The sequence below is a fragment of the Homo sapiens genome, chromosome X, assembly GCF_000001405.40.
Source record: "Homo sapiens chromosome X, GRCh38.p14 Primary Assembly".
Lineage (NCBI taxonomy): Eukaryota > Metazoa > Chordata > Mammalia > Primates > Hominidae > Homo > Homo sapiens.
This window is the reverse complement of record NC_000023.11, coordinates 15,648,557-15,671,499: the sequence shown is the minus strand read 5'-3', so window position 1 is coordinate 15,671,499 and position 22,943 is coordinate 15,648,557. Positions and strand designations below refer to the sequence as shown.

Below are 22,943 nucleotides of genomic sequence, written 5' to 3'. Positions count from 1 at the left end.
TTGGCTTTTCAGATGCATCTACACTGATGCTCTCTCCCCCATCTTCCTCTGAACCACTCTACCAGCAAGTCCCTGCTGTTGGCCATATCCTGTATCTGTCCTTTGTGTTTGTTTTCAGATTTCCTTAACTTGTATCCTGTGGGCTTTCATGTTTTATCTTTAAACATCTTGCCATTGTTCCAGGTCTATCTTGATTATCATTGAGAAACCTTTCTTCTATTTTTCTTTTGTTAACAGTTTTATAATTGACTTGTCAAATCCAGTAACTTTTTATCCTCTTTTTCTCCAGTGTTCCTATAGCATTTTGTTCACAATTGTATGTGCATCTATTGCCATCGTGATTTACTTTTGTGTCCTACAAAATTGTAAGTTCCTGAAGGGCAGAGACTATATTTGGTTCATTTTTGCATTTCTCGTAGCCCATGAATATGATAGTTTAAGAAAACTGAGTTGACTAATTTGAATCATAAACTGAAGTTCTAATAAGCTTGTGACTGGAAATTAAGTACCATGAAATGCATTGCAATGTATATATTTTTACATTCTTAGCCTTAGAGAAACCACACACACACACACACACACACACACACACACACACACACACACACACACACACACACTTGTCTCCCTTTTTTCTTCTGTTCTTCCTTGTGTGGGTTATTTCCATTAACTCAACTACAAGAAGAAAAGAGTTACCTAAATGACATTTTTAAAGTTTGTGGGGGTGTTTTGCAGCATCCCTGGCCTCTACCCACTAGATGCCAGTAGAATCCTCTCATCTGCCATTCATGATGACTAAAAATGTCACCAGACGTTGCCAAGTGTCTCTGGAGCACAAAATCACCCCCAATTGAAAACCACTGAGTTAAAATAGAACTTACACACAATAGACAAAAATACTTTGTCTCTCCATGTATCTTAACACTGACAATTTAAAGAGAATAAAATTATTTTTGTTGCCTAATTATACTGAAAACATTGTATAAATTATTAATAATACAAACATCTTGATATTGTTTATTATATATAGTATATCCATTTCATTACAATTTAAACAAGGAAGGATGTCATTTATTAAAATTCTACAACATTTAGGAAATCATTGAGTAGAGCCATTTAATTAAGATATTAAAACTTCCAAAGGGGTTTGTGTGTGTGTGTGTGTGTGTGTGTGTGTGTGTGTGTGTGTGTTTTGTTTTTGGTTTTTGTTTTTTTTATTTTTTGAGACAGAGTCTCGCTCTGTCACACAGACTGGAGTGTGGTGGCACAATCATGGCTCACTGCAGCCTCAACCTCCCTGGGCTCAGGTGATCCTCCTGCCTCAGCCTTCCAAGTTGCTGGGACCACAGGTGCATGCCACCAAGCCTGGCTAATTTTTGTACTTTTTGTAGAGAGGGGGTTTCGCCATGTTGTCCAGGCCTGTCTTGAACTCTTGGACTCAAGCAATCTGCTTGCCTCGCCCTCCCAAAGTGCTGGGATTACAGGCATGAGCCACCATGCCCAGCAGCAAAAAGTGTGAAGTTTTAAAATCTTATACAAAGTTTCTATGTTCAATTATTAAAAGTTTTAATTGATTTCTTTTAATGTGTCACAGCCAGATAACATTTCTGAAAATCCAATAAAAATATACAGAATAATGTCACATTTGAGATGGTTTTACAGTTTACTAATTTTAGGAGCTATATATTTACTAAATTTCTGTTTTTGATAATGAAACAAAATAACCAGGGTCAATTTTAAAAGAAACATTGGTCATCTCCACCTCTTGCTTTATTGGAGGTGAATGGAGCCTACATACGCCCACGTATTTATACGAATCTAGTGAACTTAAGGGATCTTGCATGAATCAAAAGAACGACACATGTGTTTTCTTTTCATGTGATCTCATATTCTGTTTACCCCAGAGCAGTAGATCCATAGTTATGTGCCCAGAAAGTGCTTTTCAAGAGTGTTGTGGAGTATAAAAAACACGGAGAAATCAATTTCGTTTTCCCATCTCAGGAGACTCAGTGCCCTTTTGTGTGGCTCATGGCAACAGTAATCTGAACTTTTAAATCTACATGCTCTAAACTCTGAACGTTTGGAAGTAAATAGTAACATATTCAGAATGATTGAACTGCTTTATTTGTCATCATTACCATGGTTACTAATAAGTTATGAAGCTCCCATATGTGAAATTGCTGAAATGAGCATTTTATGAAGCAATTTATACAGATATGAAGGCTCTGGAAACTTACTACTTAAAACTTGTACATCAAGACAAGCACTAAATTTGTGCAAGACTTTGAAAAGTATAGGAAAATATAATATGCTGAGAGGCAAGAACCCTAGTATCTAGTTCTGTTTTCCATTTATTTTACTGAGATCTCCATCAAACTATTTAACAATGAATTTGTTACAGTATGTAACCAATATAAATAAGATTTATGAATCAAAAAACAGAAAGAATTGCAAATTATGTCCAAGATCTTCTTCTTTGATTAAACAACAAAGATAATATAATCAAAATGAGAAAATTAATACACGTATTAGAAAATATAAAGAGAACATAACAACAAAAGTAGATATTTTATGGGAAATACTCTATAAAGTCCATGAGGATACTAGAAAATCTTAACAGAATATTTTCTTGGAAATTGTAAACAGCCAAAATGGATTCAGAAAGAGGTATAAAACCTGAAATAAATGATAATGTAAGGAATGAAAAATTTTGAAGAACTCTTCCTCTAAAATGCACATGGTCCAGATTCTTCATCTGTGAACTCTTTATTTCTGGTACATTATATGTATTTCTAAACATAGACAATGTTAGAAATCTTTCTGTATCATTTTCAAGATGGTAAAGGCTAGGAAAAAAAACGCTTCAAGAATCAGCACTTGAAAAGGAACCTACCTGATATTCTTTTAAGAAAATAGGTTTAAAAATCATAGGGGAAAAACCAGGAATTGATTCCAGCAGCATACTAAAAATAAATTAAAAAAATGTTTTATCTAAGAATTGAATCAATGTGAAAAATGTATTAATGTAATACACCAAATGGTAAAAATTTTAATAGTGAAAAGCAGTTGATAAAATGCAACACCAATTACTGAGGAAAATAATTTTTTGTAATTACAAATATAATGCTCGTATCACATGACACATCATTTTTAAAGCCACTTGCCAGATTCCGTGCAGTAGTGGCATTCCTATTAGAGTAAAGAAGAAGACAAGGGTGCGTCTTATTCCCATCATTGTATTACTCTGTTCTGATAGTGCCACTGCAGTGAGAAAAAACAACATCCTACAAGAACATATAAAGAGATCCAAGGCTAAGGAAGGCGCATTCTAACTATGAAAATATATTAGCATTGGTCATCCATTCTGGTAGTATTATGGATGTTTTCTACTTTTTTTTGCTTCTCTATATTGTCTATACAGAATTTCTATTGCTTTTTTCAATCATTTTAAAAATGAGAACACAAATATTGAGAAATCATAATGAAATAAGAGATTGTCTTCCCTTTTCAGATGAATGGCTTACACTGACTGAAACTCAATATTTTACTGTCTTCAATTCTAGTTACATAGATGACTAAAAGCTTATGAAGAAATTTGTCACTTTTAAGAAATGCAAGACTAAAGGAACCTGAAGAAGAATTCTGTGTTTCTACTCTGGGAGCTGAGGCAGGAGGGTTGCTTGAGCCCAGGAGGTTGAGGCTGCACTGAGCTAAGATGGTGCCACTGCACTCCAGCCTGGGCATCAGAGCAAGATCCTGTCTCTATTAAAAAAAAACAACAAACAACAACAAAACACAGTTAAGTTCAACAAAGATGACAAAGCTGCATAATAGCATGACCCCAGTTTTGTTTTTAAGAAGAAATGTACATGTATTTACACAAAAAAGAAAGCACAAGGCAGAAAGATATGTTCCAAATATTTAGAAAACATTGACAATTGGTCATTCGTTGACGCTGATGGAATTACAGGTGATTTTTACTTTTCTCCTTGTGCTGCTTTGTATTTTCTAAAAAGAATTTCTATTGCTCTTTTTGAAAAGATGATACAACAAACATTGAGAAACCATCATTCAAAAGAGATTGTCTTCTCAAATGAATGACTTACACTAAGACTCAGTGTTCTATTGTCTTCAACCCGAGTTACATCAATGACTAAGTAAAAGCCAAAGAAAGCCACTTGATACTTTTATGAAGTGTAAGGCTAAAGGAAAGCTGAAGCAGATTTCTTATTTATTTATTTATTTATTTATTTATTTATTTTTGAGATGGAGTCTCGCTCTGTTGCCCCGGCTGGAGTGCAGTGGCACGATCTCGGCTCACTGCAAGCTCCGCCTCCCGGGTTCAAGCAATTCTCCTGCCTCAGCCTCCCGAGTAGCTGGGACTACAGGCACCTGCCACCACGCCCGGCTAATTATTTGTACTTTTAGTAGAGATGGGGTTTCACCATCTTGGCCAGGCTGGTCTTGAACTCCTGACCTCATGATCCACCTGCCTCGGCCTCCGAAAGTGCTGGGATTACAGGTGTGAGGCACTGTGCCCAGCCGCTGAAGCAGATTTCTATGTTCTTAGCATAGCTTTCTTCCTTGATGTAAGTAAAATGCTTTGTTACAATCTCTATGTGTATTGACTTTTCCTTCCCATGATGACTTTATCTAGTTTAACATTTCCCAAGATGACTTCATCTAGTCTGGCTTTATTTTTTTCAGATGTTAGCTAGGTGAGCTCTTCCTTCTGGAAATTTCCACTGCACCTAATACAGTGACATTGCTAGGATGGCTGGACTAAGTTGTGGCTCCCTCTCCTTTTAGTACAGCTTTTCCTGACTCCGTGTCCTTGCAACCAAGGTGAAGGAGATGAGAAAAAGCTTTCTCAGTTGGATTTAGCTGATGGATGTGGGTCCTTTACAATAAAATACCACCCTCGCAAGGAGGGAGAAATGATGTGTTTCTCAAAGTGCTGCAGAAGTCTCATTGTTGATATTTTCCTCGTTGTTGCTTTGAAAATCCAATGTTTCTATTTAACACCAGAGTCACCCAATCTAATTCTGCCATTCATGACTTTTGAGGAATGGGGTGGAATTTGGGGACTGAATTTATGAAGAGGCAGCATGGTAGAGAGGAAAGTCCTGACATCAACCTCTGGGCGGGGCGTTGATTGGCATCTGTGGAATGCCCACCGGGGAAAGATTCTTTTACACGCATTATCTTAATTCTCAGAGCATCTCTGAGGCTTTGTTGCAACTTCAGGGTTTTTTAAAACTTTTATTTTAGGTTTAGGGGTGGATGTGCAGGTTTGTTATATAAGTAAATTGTATGTCACTGGAGTTTGGTGTACAGATTATTTTGTCACCCAGATAATAAGCATAGTATTCGATAGGTAGTTTTTCGATCCTCTCCCTCCTCCCACCCACTATCCTCAAGTAGGTACCTGTGTCTGTTGTTCCCTTCTTTGTGTCCATGTGTACTCAATGTTTAGCTCCCACTTATCAGTGAGACTGTGGTATTTGATCAATTCCAATTTTGACCAATGGTGACCAGAGACACAGAGCAGTTGGGTGTGGTGGAGACAGGGTTCAAGTGTAAGTCAACCTAGCTGGTAAAGTGACACCCATCCCACTCATCCCATTGCTGCCAATGACTTCAACGCTGGAGCCTCAGTTCCCTCCCGTATGAGATGATGATAACAATTGTGAAGTGTCTGAGGATCAGAGAAATAACCCAGTGAAGGTACTTCAGAGTGGGTAACTTTTAATTACTGTTGTATTGCTGTACTGACCAATGTAGTCAGTAGCCACATGTGCCTACTTAAATTAAATTAAACAAAAATTCCATTTCTCAGCTACACTAGCTCCATTTCCAGTGCTCAATGGCCTCCTACCTGTAGTAGCTGCCATATTGGATAGTACAGACACAGAACATTCCCATCGCCACAGAATGTCCCTTGGACAGTGCTGCTCTGTATCATTAACTTTGATTTAATTCAAGTGCCAGACCTCAGGGCTGAACACAATCATTCCCTATGTGTGAATGTGCAGGCACCTGTGCAGTTTTGTTGTATAGGTAAATTGTGTGTCACTGGAGTTTGGTGTACAGATTATTTTGTCACCCAGATAATAAGCATAGTATTCGATAGGTAGTTTTTCGATCCTCTCTCTCCTCCCACCCTCTAACCTTAAGTAGGTAAGAGGAAGCTCCGAAGCTCTCCTGGGATGTTCACCCGCTGTGGTGAGAGTCAGGTGAGGCCCTTCACGGAGGGCACCCTTTGTTTACCAGAGAGAAGGGAGTCACGTTTGTTTCCTGAATGAAGATAGCCTATCTAAGAACCAGGTATCTCAGCCTCGAAAAGGTGGGAAGTGCATGTCAAGGAAACCTCTAGACAGGACTCAATTCTTCCCATCATACACGTAACCAGAGAATCGCAGAAGGGGTCGGGGAGGATTCCAACTTTGAGTCAGCAAAGAAGACATTCTTTTGAGGTAGAGTCAGAGTAGGGAAAACAACTAATCTGTTTTCCAAACAGGTTTTCATAAATAACTGACAGGAGATGGGCTGTTTTTATGGAAGTATTAACCCAAATGATGGGTGTTAATCATTAAACCTTTTTGGTGGTGGCTCGCTTGTTTCTCTGATATTCTAATCCGGGTCACAGAATGGCTAAGGCAGATTTAAGTGCAGCGTGGATTTTTTTTTTCTCACTTTGCCTTGTGTTTTCCACCCTGAAAGAATGTTGTGGCTGCTCTTTTTTCTGGTGACTGCCATTCATGCTGAACTCTGTCAACCAGGTATGTAGCCTTGAAATTTAAAAATAGATGAACAGTTTTCTACATGTTTGACAAGTCATCGACTGAAAGAACTCTTTATTTTTCTAAATCTGCAGACATGTTGTGGCTTGAAAGTTGGGGCAGTGAGTGTTTAATGAGTTTGAAAGAAAATATTAAACCATCTAAGATGATTTAGGTTAAACTTCCAGGAGTATTTGGGGCTGTTTAATTGTAGTTCTTTGTTCCATTAGTTTGAGTTGCATTACATATTAGGATTTTTCAGACTCTGTTTTGGCAGATCCTAATCATCATATACTGCTCTTTCTTTTTTCTTTTCTGGCAGGTGCAGAAAATGCTTTTAAAGTGAGACTTAGTATCAGAACAGCTCTGGGAGATAAAGCAGTAAGTGGAGCACCTGAGTGTTCTTTTTAAATTTTGTTTGCTAATAACACTGTGCTTTCTCTAATAATGGGCCTGTCTGCATAGTTACCTTAATCTTGAATAAATTATTTCTAAAGACCTCAAATCTGATTTCTTAAAGATAGATTATAGAATAATATGAATTTTTAATAAAGTAGGTTTGCCTAAAGTATTTAATCAGTAGTGTATGCTAGGCAACATGTGAAGTTTTGTGCCACACAAAACAACTTAAAAAACCAGCATCTCAACTCGGGATAGTGAAGCCAAGTGGCCTGAGTCAGTCGTTCAGGTCTGGACTGGGTCTACTCCTCACCGTTGTGGTCATTTGAATTTTGTTAGCCTCGATTTTCTACCATTGAAAATAAGGGATAGTTCTACCCACATAAAGTCTTTCATAGCACAAAAAATTTCCAATTTGAACCTGAAGTTTCTTCAATTATTCTCAATTATCAAAGTAACATATGAAATATATGCTTATGAAATAGAAGTTTAAAAAATAGTCATAGGGCCCATGTGGCTATAGGAATGGTAAAGATCATTGAATTAAAAAGACAGTATTGTCTAATTCTAGTTTCAGTTTCCTAGTGTGGTCTGCAAAATTTTTTCCCCAATAGAAGGTGACGTTAAGATGCCTTAGGCATAGAAACAGAAAAAAGAGTGCTAAAGAAACTTAGAGGTATTCTGTTTGCAGGCCAGTTCATCAATTTGGTATTTTATTATTGACTCAATGAGTAATGATTGTTATAACAGCCAGCATTTATTGAGAACTTATCTTACTTTCTAGCTGGGGCTCTTCTAAGCACCTTACTCCTATCAAATCATTTAGCCCTCACAACAATGCTTTGAGGAAGATAGTAGTACAGGTATTAGTATTCCCACTGAATGGATGAGAAAACTGAGGTTCAAAGAAATTAAGTAACATGCTCAATATTTCAAGTCAGCAAGTGGCAGAAGTAAGATTTGAGCCCAGGCAGTCTGAGTGCAGAATACACTGTCTCTACTAGTGTGCAGGGTTGGCCATCCCAGTATCCTCTAATAGCAGGTACGATGCTGAATGCTGGGATGTAATGGTGATTAAGGCTTGTCCTTACCCTTGTGGAGCTTATAGTAGTAGTAGAATTGGTCATCTATTAAATATTCAGTAAACCAAATGCAAATGTGCAATCTTGACAAGTATTACGGGAAGAAGTACAAGGGCACTTCGGCTTTGTCAAGGCCCACAATACCTGGCACTTACTGTGATGTCTGAAGCATGAGTTGAAGTGTTACAGGAAATGAAAGAAGGAAAGGCAGAGGGAACAGCATGTGCAAAGGCTTATCACAGGAAGGATCTTGGTGAGAGTAAAGATTAGAAAGAGGGCAGAAATATCTGGAATTGGGGCAGTGAGGAGGAACATGGCAGGTGATGAGCTTAAAGAGAGAGGAGCAGGCAGGCCAAGGAATATGTGGGCTGTGTTAGGGAGTTTCATTTTGAGATGTAGGGAGGGTTCAAGAGCATCAAATGCCGTTGAGAGGCCAAGCCAGAAGGCGACTGAAAAATGTTCATTGTGTTGGACAATATGGAGGTCAATGGTGATTTTAGAAAGAGCTCTTTTCGTGGGGTGGAGGAGCTGGAAGACAGATAGTGGGGAGTTAAAAAATAAATGAGTGGTGAACATGTTGAAACAGATGTGTGGACAACTCCTGGGAGAATTTTGGCTGTGAAGGGCAGGAAAGAGATAGCAGTAGGTAGAAGAAAGGAAGACTGAGTAAAATGATTTGTTTTTGCTGTTGCAAAACAACAGCTCTTTGCTATGGCTTTAATGAGAAAGTCTTGAGCTTGGTTAAAAGACAATGAACAGACTCCGGTCAGAGCTAAATACACAGAATGGAGGGGAACTGATATTGTTTAGATCTGAGAAGGGCAGAGGAGAAGCATTCCTAATATAAGTGACGGAAATGGCCTCTGATAGGCATAGTTCTGTCTGGCACTTCAGGAGAGGAGGCGGCTAAGACGTGTCTATGGAGGAAGTGTTGTATCTTGATGTCAGGAGGTTGGGAGAGTTGAAATTGATGAGATGTATCTATAAATTATGAAGCAAAACCATTTAGTGAGAGTGAGGTTTGAGGGAAACCATTGGGAAAAATGGTTAAAAAAAAAAAGCATTGACCATCAGTTCTCTCTCTAGAGAGAGGTTTGAAATAGTTATGTGACCCATGAGAAAGAGAACTGATGGTGAAACCTTAGGGATTCCCAGGCAATTTGGGGGTAGGTCATCATGAATTTAGAGTTAAACCAACTAACCCTGTTCTGTAATTGTCTCTAGTTATACCAGTTACTTACCTAAAATGTGGGGTTAGCCATGGTTTGAGTGTTCTTAGATGTGTGCAAAAAGCAAGGTGAGCTGGGGCATTTAAGGTCCTGGCACATGTTATTGAAATGAGGAACCAAGGAATCTAAACTGATAGATAAATATATGCAATTAATTTGTACCATTTGGTCTGTGAAGCCACACGTGGCATATAAAGATGTGTTCAATTTCACATTGAGCACCTATTATGTGTCAAGTATACGCACAACAGGTAGTTAAGCTGCTATGGACATTCTTATATGTGTATTTTTCATATGCCTTCTTTTTTGGGGGTATTTACCCTGGAGTAGATTAATGGATCATAAAGTATACAAATGTTTAGCTTTAGTAACTCTTACCTTATCCTCTCTTAAGTTGTACATTTTCTCATTAATATATGTGCTCAATTCCTTTTATAAGCGGAGGCTCTCTCTTTGAAGTGTTTGAATGCCCTGGGAGAAATACACTACGTCCAATGCACAAGCTTTCAATCCTTTTCACACTTGCCCAAGATAAGTTGGTTCCACTGGCAGGATACCCAACCCAATCTAGAACTGCATCAGTTCTGTTCTGATCTAAGTAGCTTGGACCTTTGTTCTGTGACCAAAATTGGACTCCTACCCAGCCAGCTTATGCTCTTGTTTTTGAGATGAACAAATGGAAGGACAGGAGATCAGGTCAAGTTGTCCCCAAGATCTGAAAAGCAACTGAAATTCATGTCCCAGGGAGAGCTGGCTAACATCTTTATTTTCATTTTCTGCACTGAGCTTATTATTCTCATTTGTTCTTGAGCAGGCTTATTCCTTGTGTCTGCATTCTGTTAATAAGCCTTCCCTGTCTTAATAGTGTTTCTGCACCATTTTTAATCAGACCCATTTCTTCTTCATGTTTTATTCATTTATTATTAGGTTAGATCATAGCTACTCTTATTCTGAATAAAATTAATTTTGGAAAAAAATGCATTATCAAAAACAAAGAGCTATGCCACCAATCAGTTACTTTTAAACTTTCATAGTATAATATCAAATGAAAAGTTCACATCAAAACATTGAAGGAGCACTTCAAATAAGATCTAAAGTTGACATTAAAATGCAGTATTTAACATTTGCATATGAGAAAAGTGATTTTTCCATTTCCATTCTTTTGTTGTTGTTGTTGTTGTTGTTGTTGTTGTTGTTGTTGGAGACAGGGTCTCACTCTGTCATCCAGGCTGGAGTGCAGTGGCATGATCTTGGCTCACGGCAACCTCCACTTCCCAGGTTCAAGCAATCTTCCTGCCTTAGCCTCCTGGGTAGCTGGGACTACAGGTGCATGCCACCACGCCTGGCTGATTTTTTTTTTTTTTTTGGTAGAGATGGGGTTTCACTATGTTGCCCAGGCTAGTCTTGAGCTCCTGGGCTCAAGTGATCCACCCATCTTGGCCTCCCAAAGTGTTACAGGCTTGAGCCACCACTCCTGTCCCCCTTTTCTGTTCTTTATGGTAACATCTTACAGCAGAGTTACATAAGGTAGGACTGAAGGAGAAAATGGTGAAGTGGAAGAAGCAACTGAAGAAAGTTTAAGGTTCTATGTTACAGAGGCCAAGGCAGGAGGATCACTTAAGGCCACACATTTGAGACCAGCCTGGACAGCACAGCAAGACCCCATCCCTCCTCCCTTCCAAAAAAAGAATATGCTATGAAAATATTTAGGAGAAAGGAAAAAGTACAGCACAGTCATAAACCTTACCCAGAGAAGGTAACTGAGTAATACATTTTTTGTTGTTGTTATTTAGGAGTCATTTATTTTTACTTACTATCCTCCCTGCCACCAAAGAGGAGAAAGGCAGTAACGGTAAAATATGTTTCCCCATCCCAGAGTGAAACCCCAATCCTGACAATGTCCTTGTGATATACCAACCCCCCACCCTCACCAACTTCTTCCGCTCAGCTTTTGCTACTTTCTCCCTTCCTGCTTCTCTTTAGTTGCTACCCTCCTTGGTGGTCCTTAAACAGCTCAGTTTCTTTTTGCCTCAGGCTTTTTGCATTTACTGCATTAAGGAGCAGAGTGAGTCAAATATACTATATTAATTTGCTAGGGTTGCCATAACAGAGTAACACAGACTGGGTGCCTTACACAACGGAAATTTATTTTCTCTCAGTTCTGGAAGTCAAGATGTCATAGGGTTGGTTCCTTCTGAGGGCTGTGAAGGAAGGATCTGTTCCAGGCCTCTCTCTTTGGCCTGTATGTAGATGGCTGTCTTCTCCCTGTGTCTTCATATCATCTTCCCTCTGTGTCCAGATTTCCTCTTCTAAGGACACCAATCATAGTGGATTAGGGCCCACTCCAACAACTTCATTTTGACTTAATCATCACTGCAAAGACCCTGTCTCCAAATAGAGTTAAATTCTGAGGTATTGCAAGTTAGGACTTCAACATGAAATTTTTCTGGTGAGGACAAAAATTCAGCCCATAATATGCACGCACACACACTAAAGTTTCTGGCTAAGAAAATTTTTTAAAAATTGTACTGATGTTAATAAAGGCAACTGGGAGGGAGTTTATGAGGGAAAAGAGAAAGGGAGGAAGGAAATGAAAATGGACTATATATGGCCAGGATGAAATGTCCAAATGCCCTATTTGTTGGCTGGGTACTGATGCTGCAGGTTCTTAGGAAGATAGTGCAACAGGAGACACACCAAACTTAGAATGTCCAAGAAACCCTACCCCAAACATGGGGATATAATTTATCGTGGTCTCCAGTATCTAATATATGAGAAACGTGTGTGTGTGTGCGTGTGTGTGTGTGTGTGTGTGGAGAGAGAGAGAGAGGGAGAGCCACTGTGGGTACAAGTAGAACCAATGGACCATATTTTCCCCCATACACTTTGTTTTCCTTCTTTTTCAGTATGCCTGGGATACCAATGAAGAATACCTCTTCAAAGCGATGGTAGCTTTCTCCATGAGAAAAGTTCCCAACAGAGAAGCAACAGAGTAAGCAAATAATGAGAAATCTTAACTGATTATTTACAGTATTATTTGAGATAGTGCATTATTTCAAACCTTGATTTTGAAAATAATTTATTAAGCTAATTTTTCAAAGGGATTCACACTTTTATTAAACTTAAAAATAACTTTTATAATCTAACTCATCTTACAGTTTATATCATGTTCCAACAATGCTCTTTGTTTAATAGATAATATGAAGATAAATATCCCTCAAAATTGCAGCTATATATCCTAAGCTTTCTACATTTCTATTGTGTGTGTGTGTGTATATATATATATATATATATATAATTTTCTTGCAGATAGATACCAAAGAATTTTACTCTTATTTTGAAAATAACCTAAGTGTGTATAAGTTCTTTCCACTCTTGGTATTTATCATAGTACCTTGTTTATTTTCTTAAAAGCACTTAATATGACTTTTAATAGTTTTATATTTTTTGTCTGTTCTTCTGGAGGAATCTTCTCTATGATGTTTCTTTCTTTCTCTATTTGTGATGAGGGTAACATTCCTGGTCTTTCTCTATTCCCTTCTTCACTCCTCCCTTGAGAGGTAAAATGACTTATGTGATTGGTGAGCTGGAAGGAGAACCTGGGCATGGGTTCCTTTCTCCTTGTGAGGTAGCCATCCCCAAATGATAGCAGACGTCTCTCATGCAACTCTCTAGCTAAGTACAGAACCAGGCCCTGCATGCACAGGTGCATACACCCTAAGGTTGTACTTGCTGTTTGCAGCTGAGGAGCATTTAGTAGGTGCCATTTTATATGAAGGGTTAAATATCTTGTGTATTACTCCAGTACAGGACAATACCTGCCTCACTTATGCTCTACTTGAGACAATGGAGGTGAATATATTTCATTTCAGGATTTTTTTTAAATTAGGGAGAAATTCTGCCTGCTGATTAAAGTCATATCCTCCAACCTAACCTTTTATTTTGGTCTCCCATCTGTACAATCTTTTTGTCTTAATTCTATAATAATTCAAGGCCCAGTATAGATGATTACTATTAATTGGTCTCCCTCACATCCACAATATCTGATGCATGGGATATGAATATAAAGAATGAAACAGAAGAGTGGAATTTGAGGGAGCAAAATGAACACATATACATTTGTGTATACACACATGTATATTTTAAATATATGTTTTAAAATAATATATTAACGTGATTCAAAAAATGAAAAGAAGGTATATAATAAAACAAAACTTTGCCCTAAGTTCTACTCCTGTTTTATAGATCTTAAAATTATATATATTGTATTTCATGCCATTAAACTGCAGCATTCTTTCACAACTATTTATAATAACTTTTTTCAATAAAAATAAGGTGATTACATTACAAAAAGTTGAACAGGAAAAAAAAAATAAGAAGAAAAGCCACTGGTTATCTCACAATGGTAACCTCTTAAATATTCTCTTTGTATTTTCTTCTAGCCCTTCTTGTAAGCAAGTTTTATACATTGCTGTGTTCATGGCACTATTAGTTCCTTTAAATGATCACATTTCACCTAGTACATGACTAAGTTAAATTAAGTGTTTCCATTCTTAGGAAATTTTAATTTAAGTATATAACATTTCAGATTGATTTTTGGGAGTTTACCTTTAAAATATCTTCCTTCAGAATCTGGAGCATTGTAGGAGTCTATGAATATCTGATCCGGTTTATTTGAAAGGTTGTTTGACTTACAGTTGGGCACTGGGGCTGGGTGCAGTGGCTCACGCCTCCAATCCCAAAACTTTGGGAGGCCGAGGCAGGCAGATCACTTGAGCCCAGGAGTTCGAGACCAGCCTGGGCAACATGGACAACATGGCAAAACCTCGTTTCTACAAAAAATGCAAAAATTAGCTGGGCATGGTGGCACACACCAATAGTCCCAGCTACTCAGGAGGCTGAGATCACTTGAGCCTGGGAGTTTGAGGCTGTAGTGAACTATGATGGTGCCACTGCACTCCAGCCTGGGTGACAGAGTGAGACTCTGTCTCAAAAAAAAAAAAAAATTGGGTACACAGGATATATGTCGGGTTGGTGAAATAGTAATTGTGGTTTTTGCCATTGCAAGTAATGGCACCTTCAAGAAAAGTAGAAGCTTTTGTTGCCAGTGTCAGTTGTAAAAATCAAAACTGCAAAACTGGACTGAGGGTCAGTACACATTTTTCTGTAAAGAGTCAGGCAGTATGAGTCCTGGTAATACTGCTATCAAGGGGATGAATTGGCGAGCGAGATGTGTTTAAGATGCAATTCAGCTGCTGGCCTGGATTCCACATGCACTGCCATATTGGAAGCTGCACCCCTACATGAAGAGCTATGGGAAAGGGCACCACATAATGCAAGATTGGATTGAAAATAGCTTTGCGGAGAGGCTGCTTCTCTCCAGTGTGGCAGGTGGATGGAAGATACCAGTAGCCGCCTTCCAGAAATCTTTTGGTGCCAATGTGGGCAGACTGAAGGAGTGTGGCAAATATTCCTTTCCAGGATAGCTTCAGGATCCAAGTTTTGGGACTGGCTGTTTATTGTCTCCCCCCCGCCCACCATTGTTTATCTACTAATATTGCAGAAAACTGTAAAGCACAAAAATAAACCAAATCACGTGAATTAAAAATAAAGATATTCAAGTAATTAACAGAATAATGAATAGTCTCACTTTCATCCCACCTTTTACCCAGGGTGATATCTACAACATCTCTTATATCAAGTTTGGTCACCACCAATGATACAGAGCTCATTGTCTCCTGAGCATGCCTCTTCCTATTTGGAAACGTACAATTGGCATATACTTACAGTAGAAGCTTGCATGGCTATGAAAAAGGAAGTGATGTCTTGTTGGAGAGCTGATCTAGTCCAGTTACCATCACCGCAGGCAGGCAGTGGAAGAGAAACCAGGGATTCCCTAAGGGGATCAGAGAGGCTGAGGGTGTGGGCTTGCAGAGAGGGCTGTGGCATTTCCACTCCCCTAGGACTTGAACAGGGCTGGGAATGGGTTCCTGTGCAGATTCCCCAGTGCGGCCAGCTAGGGTGTTGACAACTGAGTTCATGCTGATGAGTTGGTCCCCATTCCTTACGAGTGATGATGTGTTGGAGTGATATTCTTGTTTGCATCCCTACCTACCTGAAGTCAGGTAGAGAAGTGCTCATAGAGGATACAGTTGTCTTTAAGAAAGGAGACTGGCATAATATTTTCTGGAGGGATGCTCCCCAACTTGCAGACATTCTCAGGACTCCGTCAAGTTGCCACTAGAGTAACAGTAGCTGGAGCTCTAGAGAATATGATGGTGTCCCTAGCCACTGAGAGTGTATCTGGAACAGAAACTGGTGGCTACTTCTTAGCCAGAGAAGTCTCATGGTGGAAGGCTGGCTTGAGTACCTGTGACTGGGGAGAGAGAGAGCAGTTTTTTGAGCAGTCTGCACTTGAATATATTCCTGGGGCCAAGCAGAGGCTTTGGAAGGGAACAGGATAGAGTTACTGCCTATTGGGCCCATGTCCCTAAGTGAGACAGAGCAAGGCAAGGCAGCAGAGTGAGGCTGGAGGTGTACACCCCGGAGGCAGAGCCGAGGCGAGGTGGAGGAAATCAGTCAGCGTGTCACCCATGTCAGGGGAAGATGCAGTGCAGAGGTCCCTGGAGGGGCCCTTGAAGGCCCCACAGGAGCATTCTGAGTGGAGAGCATCTGGACGTCCACTACCACAGAAGACCTCTCAAAGCGGGGGAACCACAAGGACCCAGGTCCAGGAAGAATAATTTGGCCTTTCCTTATCTATCTCACGCCCCCATCATCTTGCTTTCCTGTCCCTAAGCGAGGAGAATGAAGCATGGTGGAGGGGAGCACAGGCAGGGAGGGAGTAGGGAGTGGAGCCCGGAGGAAATGGCTGGAGCCCACCACTCAGGTCCCTGCTCTGGCCAGAACTGCTGGAAGGAGAGCAGCTGTAGGTGAGAGGCAGGAAGGCAGTTTTGGTTAGACTGGCCTGGATGCCTTAGCAGCCGGAAGTGACAGGAAAGCCACACCATCTGCCCCAGATGCTGTCAAGAGGCGAGGAAGAAGGAGCTGACAGAGTGCCCAAAGGGAACAGTGTGAGCAACATCAACCTCTTCCTTCACTGCTGTCCATGAGGCCAGCCCGTGGAACTACACTGCTGTGGCTGGAGCCACAGGATTAAGTGACCTCTACTGAAAGCCTGCTACGTGCTGAGCACTGAGATTCGAATGAGGACTAAGACCAGGTCCCACACTGCACCAGGTCCACACCCAGGAACCTAGCCCTGGTAGACATTGTAGAAAGATAGATCAAATGTGACAGCAACAAGACAACTCTTTCAAAATCATCATTCACAATTTCTGATATTAAATGCTTTTTTTGCTATTGCTGTATTTTTTTAGGAGCAGAATGGGAGATAGATGGAAAAATGAAGTTAAGGGAAAGCTCTGGTTTCATTAGTTGAGGTTACTTGAGGTTTTCCTGGAACTTGGATTGAAGATGGCAACCAAGTGTTTTCAACTGTTTAAAATATGATTTAGGCCAGATTTACTAAAACAGTTTCACAGGAATTTTAAAATGTTGAAAGGAATTTCTAAGGAAGCTATAATCTAATCCAAAGTTTAGTCTAATTCCCAGGTCAACTGGAAACTTAATATGCCTAGTTTACTCAAACATCAACTTTTAGATAATTTATCATTTTTAGCAAGAAAGATAAAGTCTAACTCAGGCAAGGCTTTCTCTTTCTGAGTTAAATGGTGTAGAATATATAATGGATTTCTGCCTCTGCCTAATTATTCAAGGATAAGTCTTGTGATCTAAAAAGGAACAACGTGCTGTTGTATCCACGGTAAGGGGATTAACGGTCTTGTGCTTGTAAAACAGCAGCCCAGCGCCTATTTAGTCCTTTTGATTTCCAGAAACAAGAGCCAGATTCTTACCACTCTTTGGAGGCAGTTGGCCCTGTCTGGCGCCATTGATGAAAAATGGCAGTGGATCCAATTCTTAGAGAAACCTTCAGACCAGGGCTTTCCACACTTGAGGAAAAGGAGTAAACATTTTTACCTCTCTTTCATGATTTGCTGAAAGAAGTTACTTATGTATGAATTAATATAATTTCTTGGTAAAAACAATTGGTCAAAATGATTATTAAAGTGAATTCAAATAATTCCACCAGCCCACTGGCTGCTCTGAAAAGCCATATTTGCATTGTTTTTGGGTTTGGCTTCCAGCTTGCTGCAGCTACACCTGCCCTTCTCGGACTCTGCATTATTGCCAGTCCCCAAACTCTCGGTTTCTTTTTAGTCCACTGCATTGGTCACTGGTGTGCCCCACCATGTCAGATGCAACTGTGGACACCAGCTCCAAGATCATCACCAAAGTCTTAAAGGAGAAGAAAGAAGTTGTGGAGGAGGCAGAGAAGGGAAGAGATGGTCCTGGTAATGGGAACGCTAATGAGGAAAATGGGAAACAGGAGGCTGACAATGAGGTAGAAGAAGAATAGGAAGAATATGGGGAGGAAAAAGAGGAGGAAGAAGGTGATGGTGAGGAAGAGGATGAAGATGAAGATGTGGCAGCTGAGGATGCTATGGGCAAATGGGCAGTTGAAGATGCTGAGGATGACAACGTTGATACCAAGAAGCAGAAGACTGATGAGGTTGACTAGACAGCAAAAAAGGAAAAGTTAAATTAAAAAAAAGAAAAAAAGAGAAAAGGCCACCGTGATCCATTCACTCTTCACCCTGTTTCAGAATCTAAGTGTAGTCATCTTGAAGTAGAGAGGCCTGCCGGGCAAGCACTCTTCAACACCCAACCCAAACCACAAGAATTTGCAACAGGGGAGGAAAAAAAACCCCAAACTTCCAAAGCTCAGCTTTTTTCCTTAAAAGTACTTCAAGAAAAAAATTTGTTCATATTTTTTATTTACATTGTTTATTTATTTGTTTTTTTTTGAGATGGAGTCTCGCTCTGTCACCCAGGGTGGAGTGCAGTGGCGCCATCTTGGCTCACTGCAACTTCCATCTCCTCGGTTAACGCAATTCTCCTGCCTCAGTTTCCCGAGTAGCAAGGATTACAGGTGCCTGCCACAACGCCTGGCTAATTTTTGTATTTTTAGTAGAGACGGGGTTTCACCATGTTGGCCAGGCTGTCTCGAACTCCTGACCTCAGGTGATCTGCCCGCCTCAGCCTCGAGAGTCCTGGGATTACAGGCGTGAGCCACTGTACCTGGCAATATTTTTTATTTTCATTGTATATTTTTGTACATATTGTTAGGGGTCAGCCATTTTTAATGATTTCAAATGATCAAACCAGCCTTCAGAGCTTTCTCTGTCTTACTTCTGACTTTACTTGTGGTGTGACCATGTTCATGATACAGTTCAAAGAAAAAACAAACCTTGAAGAAAAGCAAAAACAACAACAACAACAACAAAATCTTATTCCGAGTGTTCCAGTGTCTTTTTTGTATATGAACTTAGCGGTACTATAAGTTTGTATGAGATGGTTAAAAAGGCCAAAGATAAAAGGTTTCTCACTCCCCTCCCTGCCTTTTTTTTTTTTTTGTCTGTAAAGTTGCTGTTTATTTTTTTGGCCTCTTTGACATATGTGTGAAACAATATGATGAACAATAAATTAGAATTTTGTTTCGCTGAGTTGCTCTAACAACAACAAAAAATAATTCCATTGGACTCATTCATATTTAAAATCTTGAAAATGTAGGATTTTTATTTAGTTGTGCTAATGGCATTTCAGTTTCTTTATGACATCAAAACGTGCTTTAAAAAGACATGTTTAGCTCAAGAAATGCTTGTTGATCAATTTTTCATTCTGTACAAATCTTGGAGGACATTCAATGTAGTCACATTTGGAAGAAAGGCCATGGAGAAGTCACATTAGTTGCACATAATCTATAACTGGAAGAAATTTGTATCCTTTGGTTCCTTAATACATAAATTACAGAACTATGTGCAGTCATTCTTCATGTTACTTCCTTTTTAGCACCAACTTTCTGCCTTCACATTTACAGTTCTTCTTGGCTACTTTCATCTACAGTATATTCAGGATTCTTCTTTTGCCAGAGAGTTCTGTGTTTTGTTTTGTTGTCTGAGTATTTGTAGGTGAGTAGATAAAGTTTCGGGAAAGTAATCTCCTTCCCTCCCTGCCTCTCTTTTCTGTTATTACAGCCCTGGACCAATTTACTTCCTCAGTTTGTCTCTCTGGGAATAATGTCAGAAGCACTGAGATGTTAACCTTCTTTCATCCATCCATTTTTCCCCCCAATCACTTGCTGAATCCACGTGGGCCAAGCTTCAGGAATATGGGGGCTTACAGCACAGGACAGACTTGGGACTCATGTCCTCATGTCCCAGGGCACAAGAGAAATCTGCTGCAAATGGACAAAATATTTGATAATCTCCCTAGTGACCCTGCAACTGATCAAATTAAAACAGGTGCTCTTTGCTTGGAGATCATGAAGTTCAAATCAGGGCAGGGATTAGAGACCCTCCTGACAAAGAATGCAGACAAGCCATGTGAAATCTAGAAGATCTTTGTCCTCCCCATGTCCTGGGTCTATTCTCACATAGGGCATGGAACTATGTGCAAATTCTGCCACCGTGGGGGTTACTGGCTTCCACTTTGGTATTTAATGCTCTGGTGGACTCAAGACTCTGGTCTTGGTTTTCAAGAGTCTTAGCATCACTAAATTCCTGCATGGGATGGGGCACGGAATCTGAAGGCCGCTGTAGTAGGAACTCTTTTCCTAACCATATCCCTAACCATACTGGCTAATCAAGGTTAGCTCTTAGTAAATAGTTGTGAGTGAATGAAGCATGTTTAACATCCTGGCTCTTAAACCAGAGGCCTGTCTATTGAGGTGCAGTGGACACAAGAAAACCATGTCCCCCCATCCCCCCAATTTCTTTCTCTTTTTCACCTCAGTCCCACAGGAGGATGCTCCCATGGTGGATTTGGCACACAATGGCCAGAGTAGAAGCAGTTCCCTGTTGCCTGGGTATTAGCTCTTGTTGGACCTCGGTTTCTTACTCTTGGGGAGGCCAAGACATCAGTTAGTTTCTGAAAGCATCATCCAAGCAAGTAGGAAGTATCAGCCCAGAGTGTGTCTCCATCTTCATATACAGCCTTTGCTGCCTTCAGAGCAGGGCTAGGCTTTCCCCTGGCCCCCTTCCCACAACATTGCTACTGTGGGAAGTGGGCTTATTAATTCTTAGTTCAACTGCCTGTATGTGAACAAAATATAAACACGTCTGTAGAGTTATATATCTGTTGGTGACATTTGTTGAACATTAGGTTACCTTTTTGTTTGCTTAGAATCTTGAGACGAGTTACATATTTGGGCAGAAACATCATGTAGGAAGGACACAACATTGTCCTGTTGAAGAAGACCACAAACAGCCAAAACTATTTACCTCTTCTCTTTATATCAATCTTAGAGAAATGATGCTTAAGAAACTAGTACGATGGAAGTCATCATAATAAATAATTTTACATCTGAATGTATAACAAAGAATTTTTAAAAAATTCAGGTAACTATTAATACCATCCTTATGCTGGTGGGTACCAGTATCTTGCATTTGAATACAGCTTTCTTAATTTCAAACAAATTTTTTAAATCTGTTATCTCCTTATCAATGAAGCTAGTCAAAAGCATTAAAACGTTGCCTAGTTTTTATTTTTCGTGTAGATACTTTTACTGTGCCCAGGCAACTTTTTAAATAACTGCTTTGCTCTTATATGTATGTATATGTCTGTGTATTTAATTAAAAAGATTTACAAAAGAGTTACAAAGTTAATATAGAGAGTCCCTACGTACCAGTGGTTCTCAACACTTGGTGGGGGGGTTCCCTGCAATTGCTCCCAAGGATATCTGGCAATTTCTGGAGACATTTTGGTTTTCACAATTGGATGTGCTACTGGCATCTAGTATGTAGAGGCTAGGGATGCTGCTATATATCATACAAAACATAGACAGTCCCCGACAACCTAGAATTATCCAGGCTAAAATGTTAATGGTGCTATTGAGAAACCCTGCTCTAACCCCAATTCCCTTATGATATCATGTTAAATAACCACGGTAGACTTATCCAAACAAAGAAATTCACGTTGGTTCACTTTTTCTACTAATGTCCTTTTTCTGTTTAAGAATCTATTTCTCCTTAGTCTGATCCACTCTATGACACTTTCTCTGTCTTCCTTTGTTTTCATGACCTTGAAACTTTTGAAGGGATTTAGAAGTGTTTCTTACTTGGTACTGACCGCCCCCTGCCCATGGAGTATAAGGAAATGGGATCTGTATGGGGGTTATATCTATGACTGTAGAGTGCTGTGGCATTTAAAGGGTGGGGAAGAGAGATAATCAGTGTGGTGAATGGCTCAAGACAGTTACCCATAACATTCCCACCCAAAATGCCAACAGCACACCCCCATTGACACACTAAGAGCTCAAGCCCTTCCTAGTAACTCATAGACAGCGAAATGACTTGTCTCAAGACCACCATTTGGCAGGTAGTAAATTTCAAAATAAAAACTTTGTTTTTAGAGTTTCAGTCCAGGAACTTTTTCTATCTAACAATAACTGTCTCTATTGAAAATGTAAGGTTTACTATTTTCAGCAAAAATTTTAATCTTTTGGAAATCTTTATTTCTAAGTAGATAAAATATTTTCATTTTATTTGCTGAGGTAATGTGTTAAAGTATGAGTTGCCACCCATTGGAAACTTGAATAAATTTAAAGAACTTGAATTCATGGTATAGTTCCATAGTGATGGGGACAGAGGAAAGTATTTGGGGCCATAGTTGTGTTGATGGAGTTGTATGCCCTTCCTTTTATTTTTTTTTCTTTATAGTACTTACTTCACACCTCCACAGTGTATGCATTTATTTACTTGTTTATCTTTTGTCTCCACCTCCTTAGCAAGCTCCATGAGATAAAGGATTTTGCTTTGTTTACAGCTGTATTCTATGGCTCTGTAATGGGGAATACCATGAAATTCATGTTTGAACAGTATTTAAAGAGGCTTTATATGGAAAAAATAATACAGGCAAAGTAACTAAATGACTCTTTACATGATTTCTGGCCTTTTATGCCTGAAATTCTATTTGGTATTTGTTTAATTTATATAAATGTTATGTACTACGCATAATATTTTACCTCTTATCTTTTTCACTTGATGGTGTATTTTTGAGATTTATTCTTTTTTTTTTTGAGACGGAGTCTTGTTTGTTGCCCAGGCTGCAGTGCAGTGGCGCGATCTCAGCTCACTGCAACCTCCACCTCCCGGGTTCAAGCGATTCTCCTGCCTCAGCCTCCTGAGTAGCTGGGATTACACGTGTGCGTCACCATGCCTAGCTAATTTTTGTATTTTTCGTAGAGATGGGGTTTCACCATGCTGGCCAGACTGGTCTCAAACTCCTGACCTCGTGATCTGCCCCCCTCAGCCTCCCAAAGTGCTGGGATT

The 22,943-nt window shown here is 39.6% G+C and overlaps 1 protein-coding gene and 1 pseudogene across 4 annotated transcripts in view; both read left to right on the top strand.

The window, feature by feature from the left end:
* CLTRN (collectrin, amino acid transport regulator) overlaps nucleotides 1-22,943 on the top strand; it is a 48,327-nt gene that overhangs the window by 4,145 nt on the left and 21,239 nt on the right. For 2 of the 4 annotated variants that reach the window (XM_017029681.2, NM_020665.6), the window contains exons 1-3: nucleotides 6,695-6,782; nucleotides 7,105-7,163; nucleotides 12,399-12,484. In XM_017029681.2, coding sequence (XP_016885170.1) covers nucleotides 6,725-6,782; nucleotides 7,105-7,163; nucleotides 12,399-12,484 — 203 coding nt within the window. In that variant the 5' untranslated portion in view covers nucleotides 6,695-6,724. Of the gene's footprint in view, nucleotides 1-6,694; nucleotides 6,783-7,104; nucleotides 7,164-12,398; nucleotides 12,485-22,943 lie in introns of those variants that run through there. The other 2 variants (XM_017029680.2, XM_024452411.2) reach the window with 1 other exon arrangement.
* On the top strand, nucleotides 17,645-18,393 carry PTMAP14 (prothymosin alpha pseudogene 14; annotated as a pseudogene).